This window comes from Homo sapiens, chromosome 2 (genome assembly GCF_000001405.40).
Source record: "Homo sapiens chromosome 2, GRCh38.p14 Primary Assembly".
Taxonomy (NCBI): Eukaryota; Metazoa; Chordata; class Mammalia; order Primates; family Hominidae; genus Homo; species Homo sapiens.
The window spans coordinates 65017198-65029110 of NC_000002.12; the positions used below are offsets into that span (position 1 = coordinate 65017198).

The following is an 11913-nucleotide window of genomic DNA, read 5'->3' on the forward strand; positions in this document are numbered from 1 at the left end:
CCAATTCTCCCTTTCTGGATATGTGAATTAGAAAACGAGTCTGAGGCACCGTGGTGAGGGATGGATGCTTAGCCCTCTAGGAGTCCACAATAGTGTGGGATTGTCTCATTTGGCACAAGAGATGCATCCTGTCATTCACTGGAAAACCTTAAAAAAAAAAAAAAACACTGGGTTTTCCAAATATGTTAAAACTTTCAAAGGACGGCAGCACGTCGTTTCATTCACACATTTAGTTTTGCCTCTACTGCTCACTTCCTCCCAATCTGGATGGCTATTTATATAACACAGAGGTGGGAGTAAAAAAAAAAAAAAAATTAGGGAAGGAAGTTCCTCTGGCCTAGACAAAAACCTGTTTCTCAGCTGCACCAACTAACCTCTGCAGAGCCCGCAGAGCCAGCTAGAGGGAGCAGGTACTGTTCTTATGGTTATCTACTTAGTTATTCTTCCAAGCTCACAGAGCCATTTCTGGGTTTTGGCCTAAAAGAAAAAAAAATCATAGTTTACCATTTACTTTTGGGAGGGGAACACTCAAGAGAGGAGATGCACATGTAGAGAAACTAGTTGTTTGTTCTCTCGGGAACGTTTTGCACCGGGAGGCAATGTGCAGTTCTTAAGAAACTTGGAACACGTGAATCCAAGTAAATGACAGAATAGGTAAATGAAGGCAGTCATATTTTAAGTATCTTGGGAGTTGCCAAAGCCTCATGTTGTGACAGAAGTTTTAAAGTGATTCTGTTTTTTCCCTTATTTCAAGAGAAGAAAGCCAGAAACGAAGATGGTGCTAATTGCTCTGTTCTGGGGTCTGAGACAAGACACATGTTAGCCTGCCTCGGACTGTTGTCATGTCTGGCGGTTTGTTTTTCCCATTTCTAGCTCAGCGACCCTTCCCTCTATGATGAAGTGCATTGAAGAGAACAATGGTGTGGACAAGAGGATCAGCAGGTTTATTCTCCCCATCGGGGCCACCGTGAACATGGACGGAGCAGCCATCTTCCAGTGTGTGGCCGCGGTGTTCATTGCGCAACTCAACAACGTAGAGCTCAACGCAGGACAGATTTTCACCATTCTGTAAGTTCCTCATTCTTTCCCTGGCTCAAAACTGAAGGCTTTTCTTGTGATTTCCTTTGAAAAACCAATCTCACCACAACTTGGTGTCTCGCTCATAAAATGAGGACAGTGGGGATTCATTACTTGAAGAGCGTGTGTTGACTCTCAAGGGCGTAGCCAGCAGAGCCTATGGTGGGGCGGTTTTTAGTTTCCAGCCACATTGCAGCTGCATGGTCTGCATTTCTCTGTGTCCACTCCACGCTCTATGTTAATGGCTGGCCCTGCTCTGCCATCCCTTAGAGTGACTGCCACAGCGTCCAGTGTTGGAGCAGCAGGCGTGCCAGCTGGAGGGGTCCTCACCATTGCCATTATCCTGGAGGCCATTGGGCTGCCTACTCATGACCTGCCTCTGATCCTGGCTGTGGACTGGATTGTGTAAGTAACAAGTCCTGAGAACACCAAAAAGAGTCTGCACTGAGTTCCCTAGGAGCTTAGCACTGCTGGGCCTGGGCCATGCAGAGAAACTTCAGACACACTCCAGCCTTGTGAAGGAGGCTACAGTGGAGCTAAAAGGGCAAGATTTAGAGCTAGGAAAAATTAAACAATATGAGAGTCACATGCCCCCAAACATCCAGGAATGACCATGAGATGTCATTACCAAGAACTTGCTTATAGCATCCAGTAAAGCAGGGGTCCACAGCTGAGGCCCTCAGCGCAGGCCCAAGGGACACGAGGGTCTATGGAGTTGCTGACTGCATAGGAGTAATAAGTCGATGGAGCAGTGATCCTTTGGGAATGATTGTCCCTGGCCTGGAAGATTCTAAGGAGTGATTTCTGTGAGGGGAGGGAGGATGAACCATGCTGATGTGAGTGACTTGGGCTTGGGCTCAGCAGAGGAGGAGGTAGGGAAGAAGGTGTGATCCAGACCACATCTCTGGGGCTGCTGTGAAGACACAAAACAGTTTCTGTGCATGGATTCCTTGAGTCACATGATACCTTTTGCAGGCATGAATAATATCTATTTTATAGGGAAGGCTGCCTGAGGTACTAAAGTTGAGACAGTAGAGCCTGTGGGTAAGAAAATGAGCCCTGGAGCCCAGGTGCCTGGATTGAAATCCCAGATTTGCCATCTAGTAGTTGTGTAATGTGCACTGTGTGTGCTTTGGTCTGCTCATCTGTAAAATGGGAATGATCATAGCACCCACACCAGGGTTGTGGGGAAGATTGAGCGAGTTAGCACGGGAACAGCACACAGAATAATGAGCACGTGGTAAAACATTCAATTCATGTCAGCAAAGAAAGACACTCCAGACCAGGTTCGTCACAGGCAGGGCCTGGCACTGGGCTCACGGACTGGCCTGCTGCAGGTGGGAATGGTGGTTTTTCCAACTTGAAGGGGCTTCTCAGAGCAATGAGGGTAAAATCTGCAAAAGAGACCTGCATTGCGCAGACACCTCATCAGAGGGAACTCCGTCCCTGAGCTGGCCAGCTGGACAGGACCAGAGCTGACAGAGGCCCCCTCTCCTTCCTCACCCAGCCACCTCCTGTGCGTGGAGAAGAGGCATCAAAGAGGTGCTTGGCCAGGAACAGGGAAACAGGGCACCAAGCCGGCTGCCCAGTGGAGACCTGAAGTCACACAGGCCTGCCAGCCACCCCATCCCCTCTGATTCTGCAGACAGCAGGACGGCACTCTGCAGGGAGTCAGCTCCCCAGTGCCCTCAGGGAAGATCACATTTTTCCCTCTCTTCAAAATGTGCACAATACTTCCTCTGAGCTCCAGGGACAGGGGAATGGTATTGGCTAATCTATAACACAACAAGCTAGCTTCTGGAAAGGATAGTGATATTTTCTTTGAGATGGTATTTATATTTGCCGATGGCAATGGAACACATATGAAGATTAACATCCGCAGTAAAGTAGCGTTGAAATGAGAAAAAGAAGGGAAACTCCCACAGTGTATTATTCAGTGGAAGAAAAGCTAGACACAAAACCGTATCCACACTATTATCCCAATATGTTTGTTTATTTGTTTACTTATTAGAGTCAGGGTCTTACTCTGTGGTCCAGGCTAGAGTGCAATGGCATCATCATAGCTCACTGAAGCTTTGAACTCCTGGACTCAAGCAATCCCCCCACCTCAGCCTCCTGAGTAGCTAGGATTACAGGCACACTCTACCATGCCCAGCTAATTTGTTTATTTTTTGTAGAGATAGGATCTCACTATGTTGCCCAGGCTGGTCTCAAACTCCTGGCCTTAAACAGTCCTCCCACCTCAGCCTCCCAAATTGCTGGGATTACAGACATGAGCCACTGTGCCTGGCTTATGTGTGATTTTTAATTATGGTGTCTAATACATATAAAATACGTGTATAGAAAGGTGACTGGAAGGAAATAGATTAAAATGGGCATACAGATTCACTCAGTTGGGGACTAGGGGTGAGTGGCTTGTTTGCTTCTTTATGCTCTTTTTTATTCTTTCTATAAAAATAAAAAGTGTTTAAAGAAAATCAATTTAGAATAAGGTAAAGCCAATGCCTTAGAAGCATGCTCTCCAGGAAGCAACAGGGCCCCTCACAATCATGACTTTCCTTCGGCATCCAGGCTGCCTGTGACAGGACCCGATCGCCCAGCAGTAGATATAATAGCTGCCTCTTCTTTTCCCACCAGGGACCGGACCACCACGGTGGTGAATGTGGAAGGGGATGCCCTGGGTGCAGGCATTCTCCACCACCTGAATCAGAAGGCAACAAAGAAAGGCGAGCAGGAACTTGCTGAGGTGAAAGTGGAAGCCATCCCCAACTGCAAGTCTGAGGAGGAGACATCGCCCCTGGTGACACACCAGAACCCCGCTGGCCCCGTGGCCAGTGCCCCAGAACTGGAATCCAAGGAGTCGGTTCTGTGATGGGGCTGGGCTTTGGGCTTGCCTGCCAGCAGTGATGTCCCACCCTGTTCACCCAGCCGCCAGTCATGGACACAGGGCACTGCCCTTGCCAACTTTTACCCTCCCAAGCAATGCTTTGGCCCAGTCGCTGGCCTGAGGCTTACCTCTCGGCACTGGCATTGGGCTCCCCAGCCGGAACTGGTTACCAAGGACAAGGACACTCTGACATTCGGCTTGATCCATGTCCAGGTGCAACTGTGTGTACACCAGGGATCTGTTTGGAAACAACCCCTTGAGCTGCCAGGCTCAAGAAATCATGGACTCACAGGGTCCTGTGTGGTTACATCTTGGAAAAAATGCAGATGTATTTCACTCTCCCCGGTCAGCTCTGCATCAGGTGTTTTCTGAGCAAACCAAGGGGGTTTATAGTCATCTGTCGCATTGCCTCGAGTTGCAGTAATTGAAAAAATGCTCAAATTCTTAGCCATGGCTGGCCTTTGCTGAGCTGGGACTCAGGTGTTTAAAGAGTTTGTGCTATAGCTAGGTGTGGATAGCTTCTGATCCCTGGGTTCTGGGAGACTGCAGGTGCCGCACATTGTCAAGTTAGAAATACTCCAGGTGGGTGTTAGCACTGTGGTGGTCTCTGGTCCACAGCCTTAGGTAAACAACTTAGATTCTGAGGTCAAAGAAAAAAGGAGAGGGAATGCAGCCTTGTGGGGGAGAAGCGGGGCAGAGGGTTCTCTAATCTAATCAGGACAGGACAGGTTTCACATACAATTGTCCCAGTTCGCATCCCAGCCCTGGGGCACTTTTCTGCTTCCTTCCAGAGGCCTGGGCCTCTGATAACACTTTGGCTTTTTCTCCATTCACGCTGATTTGGCAAAAGGCCAGAGATGGGCCTCCTTCCCTGGGGAGGTGTGATGTAGTTATCACATTCAGGACCCTTGTTGATTTATCATCTATTATTTGAATTCAACTGGACACTCTGTAAAATGCTGCACTGCAGCAAAAACAAAACCACCACCACCCCAGAGAAAACCATGTACTAATTGGAGTGGGGTACCCCCATTCACAGGTTCCCAGGTCCCCTGGCTTTGGCTGATTTCAAAATATAGAGCCCTTTCTTGCCAGTACATCCAAGTTTAAAATTATCAGCGAAATGGTCCATGTTTTTCCAATTACCTGCTGACACGGTTCTAAGCTAAGTGAAGGGGAAGATCTGAGAGCGTGCTGTTTGTGGCTGTTGATGCATATTCGTGATGTAACAGGTCCTGGGGCCTCACTTTACCCCATTTGTAAAATGGGGCTAATGTCACCTGCCTCTTACCTACCTCAGAGGGATTTGGTGAAGCAAACTGTTAATCTTCGAAAACGACCATTTCACTTCTTGGATATCAAGTGCTAACCCAGTATGTTCTTCTTTTTTATGTAAGGGACAGCTTTCTCCACAGAGTCCTTTCTGCTGGTGAGGACAGCATTTCTGAGCAGGGCTTTGTTCTCTATGTGCATTAGGACTTTTATCATGCCCTTGTTCTGTGTGTAGTTACTTGACAGCATCAAATGCCGCCTCTTCCTAATGTCCTTCAAGTTTTCATGAACTAGCAACCCCACCTTCCACCATGGTTCTGGGCGCCTGATTTTGCTGTGACTCCCAGACCCAGCCACTGTTTCTGCCACCCTGTAACAGGCCATTAAAGCTCCCCAGTGTTCAGCCTCCTTCACTCCCTTGTTTTCCCTGTTGCTATGTGTCACCTGGGCCCTACAGACAGGGGCACACGCTTATGGATGTGTGTACCATTGAGATGAGAATGGGTAGATGGAACGGAGACCATCAAGCCACACCCCCTTCTTAAAACTGGGGACATGAGCCTGAGCAGAAAGGGTGAAGAAGAGCCATGGGACACAGAGTTGACCCAGCCAGGGGGAAAGCCCAGCTCTCTTTAAACCAGCTAAGCCATTCCAGTCTCCTGTGAAGCCAAAAGGGACCAGGAACCGTGCAAAGGAAACTGGAAACTTTTCCCCGCTGGGTAGAGCATGTTGCTGATACTCTTCTGTTTTCAAGGGAAACAATCACATTGTTTGATTCCAAATGGTAAATGAACACTCACTATTCTTCAGGCTTCAGTAAATCTTTTTTTCTTCCTTCATATATATATACACAACACACACACACATATGTATATCTATACACACATGTGTGTTGTGTATATGCATGTGTGTGTGTGCGTGTGTGTATAGTTTTAGCTCCAAGCCAAGCAAGTTTGTGTTTGGATAGAGGGGAACTTAACTATTAACTACAAGTTGTATGTCTGTGGTATCTTGATTTTCCCATTTCTAAAGATGAATTTCACAAAGCCATAAAGCGTGAAATTAGAGCTGGACTTAAGACTCATTGGCCGACCATCCTGTGTCCTGGCCTGGCCCTGCAGTAAGAAGCGTGTCTGGGTCTGGAGAAGGGTGCTTCCGAGAGTGTGCAGGTGGCCCTTCCCCTTGGAGGCGAGAAGAGAGAATGTGCTGTCTATCTTCCTGGTTTTCAGTCCACAGAGTCGGTAGACCAGGGGTTACGTGACTGGGGAAAATCTCACATCTCCTTGTCTGAAAACATTTCCCCTGCTGTTCTCTTTCTAACATGTTGTGGTAAATCTGTTCAGATACTGCTCATCTGACTGTTTTGTACATGTGACAATTGCCTTAAAACCTAGCACAGTCCTCAGAAATGAATACCGTGTTTCCACTGGAATCTGCAGTTCCTTTATTCCCTTCTTGTGTGTTGAAGCGGCACTTGCTGATGGAGGAGCTGTTGCTCTTCTAGGAGATGGGCTTTGGGTGACTAAAGGGATTTGTTTTCCTTGCTCCATTCATCAGGCACGAGCCCCTAAGTCAGGGCAGGCATGCTCAGGGGGCAGTGCTACCGCCGGAGCTGCTGTCGCTGATCCTTTTGCGGCCACCTGCTTGCAACTGGGAAGCGTCAAGCTGCTCAGGGGCTTCCCACTCCACACCAGCAGGGCTCTTGTAAAAAGTGTGTGGTTTTGCCACATACCTCCATAAAGTTATGTCTTGTCAGAACGACTAGGTCAACAGGCCCTAACTGAGCATCTACTGTAAGGCAAGCATTAAGTAGGAACAACAGGAAGAAAGCCCCAGGCCCTAGAATTCTGGGAAAGTCCCTGAAAGAGAGCAGTTGTCCATGCCTCTACTATGGCACCACCACACCTCGCCCATGCTTTTATATAATCTTGTTTTCAATGACACCACATTCCAGCAACATTAGGGAATCTAGACACCTCTTATAATAGGAATTATCCTGCAAACAGAGTGGAAACCTCTGAAGAAACAGATCCCCTGTCTGACCTGAACATTTCCAGCTCTTCATATAATACAGGAACTGGTTTTCATTTCTGGGCAATCCCCAAAGGATGAGGAGAGAGTTCACACCGATCAGGGGCCTGATGGGGCCTGCTAGGAGTAACGATTTGGATTCTTACCCTGGAGTGTGGTTGCCTTGACTCTCTGTTGTGGAGAGTGTTTGGAGGTTGGGATTAGTACTTGATGAGTCAGTTTTCTGATGTAACCAGACCAAGAGGAGCAAATCTACACTCAAACCATCTCTTCCCTGGGGATCAGAAGGAGCGCTGATCTGATGAGCTACTTGAACCTGCTCACGGGAACTGTAAATTGTGTCTGAATAGCACAGGCGATGTAGCAGGGAGGACCATGGGCTGTCTGGGTTCCACTCCCAGCTCTGCTGCTTGCTTGCTGCATGACCCTGGGCATGATAACCTCTCCATGGCTTAGTCTCATATTTAAAATTGGGAGACCGAGTGCAGTGGCTCACACCATCATCCCAGCACTTTGGGAGGCCAAGGCAGGAGGATTGCTTGAGGCCAAGAGTTTGAGACCAGCCTGGGCAGCAAAACAAGACCCTGTCACTATAAAAAAAAATTTAAAAATTAGCTGTGCATAAAAAATTAGCTGCACACCTATAGTCCCAACTACTCCAGAGGTTGGGGTAGGAGGATCACTTGAACCTGGGAGGTCAAAGCTGCAGCGAGCCATGATCATGCCATTGCAGTCTAGACTGGGTGACAGTGAGAGTCTGTTTCAAAAAATATATATATTTTTTTTAAAAAAAGTTTTTTTTTAAAAAAAGAAAAGCCTTGGCTGGGCGCGGTGGCTCACACCTATAATCCCAGCACTTTGGGAGGCCAGGGTGGGCAGATCACTTGAGGTCAAGAGTTCAAGACCAGCCCGGCCAACATGGTGAAACCCCATCTCTACTAAAAATACAAAAATTTAGCCAGGTGGGGTGGCACGTGCCTGTAATCCCAACTACTTGGGAGGCTGAGGCAGGAGAATCACTGGAACCCGGGAGGCGGAGGTCTCAAAAAAAAAAAAAAAAAAAAAAGAGCCTTTTACCCAAACATGTATAACTGATGAAGTTCAACATTGTAAGTTAAAGTGTGGTCTGAATCTAGGCAACTGATTATGCTTACATAGGCGGGGCTGCCTCAGCATGCAGTTCCGCAGGGCACCATTCATGTATTCTGTGCGAATGGAGCTTGCAGGAGTTGTGCGGTACATAGCCTTCCTGGCCATAACATGGCAGCCCTGAACTGTGGGGTCAGTTGCAGTTAAAAGCTTTGATTCTCAACTCGAACGTAAAGCATGTTGAATCTGTCTTCCCTATAAATTGTTTCCCTTTTAATAGTTATGGGCCAATCAGTTTCAAAGCAATAGGGTTGCAGTCTAGAGGAACTTCCTTAATCAGCTTCACTAGTCATGATTTTTCCATTTGTGGTGTTCCTCTAACAAAGCATCTGTGTTTGTGGCTATGCACTTTGTGGTATCAATGAACCTTTTCTCTCTCTAGTCCTCAGAGCACCCTGGGTTGGCTAGCTGGATTGCTCACATGCCTTCCTCACCTCCAAGCCCCTCTAAGACAACCAATCTCATGACAAAAGCATGGCCCTGAGATCTTGTGAGTGGTAGCCCACTCCATTCAGTCCTTCCAGAAACACAGTACAACAATGGTCAGGCCTGAAAGAGCCCCGATGCTAAAGAGCACAGTGTTATAAACCCAACAAACTGATCTACAGGGGAGAAGTCAGTTTCATAGTTTCCTTTAGGTGCGGGGAGAGCAGCCTGTGGAAGTGCTGGGAATGCTCTATTTCTTGATCTGGATGGGTGTTTGCTTTGTGATAATTCATTAAGCTATACACTTATGTGGCTTGTTTGCTTTTGGGGGATGGAGTCTCGCTCTCTCACCCAGGCTGGAGTACAGAGGTGCCATCTCGGTTCACTGCAACCTCCACCTCCCGGGCTCAAGTAATTCTCCTGCCTCAGCCTCCCGAGGAGCTGGGATTACAGGCTTGCTCCACCACACTCAGCTAATTTTTGTATTTTTTTTAGTATAGACGGGGTTTCGCCATGTTGGCCAGGGCTGGTCTAGAACTCCTAACCTCAAGTGATCTGCCCGCCTTGGCCTCCCAAAGTGCTGGGATTACAAGCCATTTATGTTTAATAAGTGTACGCTTTTACTTTTCACAAAGTGAGAAGAAAAAACCAGGGGTGTAGGAGCGGGGTGGTAATTAGGGCCCAATGGAAGACTCTCTGTAGCGGTTACCAGTCACTTTGGATGACCATGTCTTTTCTTGGCTGTCCTGTGAGCCATCAGAAATTATCTCAGCTAATTACACCTTGGTCATCTAGAGCAATGGTCAGCAAACTATGGCTCACAGGCCACAGCCAGCCCACTGCCTGTTTCTGTACGGCCCATGGGTAGTGCCCCAGCACATTAGCAGCATGAGCGACAGAGGCCAAGCGTGGGTGTTTCCCTCCACCCCGTCAGGGCTGACTTGCCCATGAGGCACAGGACTCGCAGGACCTGAGGCCCACAATGCTTTTAGGGGCCCACAAAATTATTATTATTATTTTGAAACAAGGTGTTGCTCTGTTGCCCAGGCTGGAGTACGGTAGCATGATCACAGCTCACTGCAGCCTCCACCTTCTGGGCTAAAGCGATTGTCCCACCTTAGCCTCCCAAAGTGCTGAGATTACAGGCATGAGCCGCTGCTCCAGCCCTACAAAAATATTTTCATTTGCTTTTAAATCAGAAAAATGTCCCCAGGACATTGGGATGACGTACGTGAACAGGTGGCTTGACACTCATAGCAGGGACGCATGGATGATTTTCCTATTATCAGTTTTTGGTCTGCAACAAAATGAGGTACTGAAATTCTGGCAAGTCTTTGCCGAGCCCTAGGATGACTTGGGCTTGTAGGGCTCCCCAGGGGAGCAGCCCCCATTAGCAGAACCTCCCCCCACACCCCACACCCCACACCCCTACACACAGAGAAAGTGGGCATAGCAGGGTCTCTTCCTCAATAAAGTGCTAGCTGAGGAGTCACTTGTCCAGGAATCCCTGATCTCACCCATTTCCACTTCACTAAAGCACACTGAAAAGCATTAGCCTGATATATACAAGATACCTGATGTATACATATCCATGGAGATTTAAGAAAGAAAGCAACCATCAACTGCTAAAATACTTCCCTGGAAGCTCAGCTCTTCCATCAAAACCCAAATCCAATCTGTCCCTAAGAGTGAGAGTCAAGGACAAAAGCACACCCATTTTTAGTAAATCCGTGGCCTGCTGGGAACGTGAGTCATTGCCCCTGGGTACCCAGCACCACTTTATACATATAGAAGATAGTATGAAGTGACAAATGGATGAAGAACTTTAAAAATCTTTAGAGGACTGAATCGTTATCATTCCTTATTTCTAATGTTTTACTGTAGTGTTTTCCTTCAGATAAAATTCCCTGTGTTCCACAGTAGGCTGCATGATGGGAGCAGGACCATGAGAGAGTGAGCCGGATGTACTCTGGGGCTGACTTGGTAGTAGCCGTGTGTCCTTGGGCCGGCCACTTCCCCTTCCTGGCCTTGTTTTCCTCATCTGTGAACTGCGGGGTTGGACTAGACGGTCCCTGAGTTCTAAGTCTCTTCTACTCCACTGCTGATAGAATGTGAAGGAAAATTGGAAAGGAAGACTTTCCAAGAGGGACAGCAGACCAGGAATAAGAGTCCACAGTGGCACTTTTCTTGCCTGTGGTTCCCAATCTGGATGCATATTACACTACTCTGGGAACCCTGAAAAATCCCATGCCCAGGCCATACCTGAAAGCAAATAACCAAAATTTCTGGGGGTGGGACCCAAGCACCAGTATTTTCAAAGCTGCCCAGGGGTTTCAGCCAAGGCTGACAACTGCCGGGTCAGCAGCACTGTGGGCAGCCTAGGAATTCTGCATTTAACAAGCTCCTGGCAAATACTTGGGCATGTGAGTGTTTGAGAATCACAGACCTAGTACCCTCAGCATCTGTGGGCACCCTGGTTCATGGTCTTTTCTGGAAAACTCCATTCTAGGTAATTTCCCAAAAGCCTCTAACTACAGTGGCCATGGATGACCTCATTTGAGGGGAAATCTACTCTTGTTTACACTCTGTCAGCCAAGGAGATGATCTTTCCCCAGATAAAACTGAAATGCAGGCCAGGCATAGTGGCTCACGCCTGTAATCCCAGCACTTTGGGAGGCTGAGGCAGGTGGATCACCTGAGGTCAGGAGTTCAAGGCCAGCCTGACCAACATGGTGAAACCCCATCTCTACAAAAATTAGCCAGGTGTGGTGGCGCACGCCTGTAGTCCCAGCTACTCAGGAGGCTGAGACAGGAGAATTGCTTGAACCCAGGAGGCAGAGGTTGCAGTGAGCTGAGATCACACCATTGCACTCCAGCCTGGGCAATAGAGCGAGACTCTGTAAGTGCCTCTATTGGTGTCTTGCAATACAATGTCTCAAAAACAAAAAACAAACAAAAAAACTGCAATGCAATTCATACTCTGGTTGTTGTAACATGGACAATTACAGAATCATCATTTCCATTTTTCATCTTGCTGACTACCTGTGGTTCCATTAAGAATCAAGAATTCT

General features: G+C 47.8%; 1 protein-coding gene across 4 annotated transcripts in view; it reads left to right on the forward strand.

Annotated features, from left to right (window-relative positions):
- The window catches only part of SLC1A4 (solute carrier family 1 member 4), a 35387-nt gene extending 28719 nt beyond the window's left edge, over positions 1-6668 (forward strand). For all 4 annotated transcript variants that reach the window (NM_001348406.2, NM_001193493.2, NM_001348407.2 and 1 more), the window contains 3 exons: positions 874-1068; positions 1348-1482; positions 3715-6668. In NM_001348406.2, coding sequence (NP_001335335.1) covers positions 874-1068; positions 1348-1482; positions 3715-3949 — 565 coding nt within the window. In that variant the 3' untranslated portion in view covers positions 3950-6668. The remainder of the gene's footprint in view (positions 1-873; positions 1069-1347; positions 1483-3714) is intronic.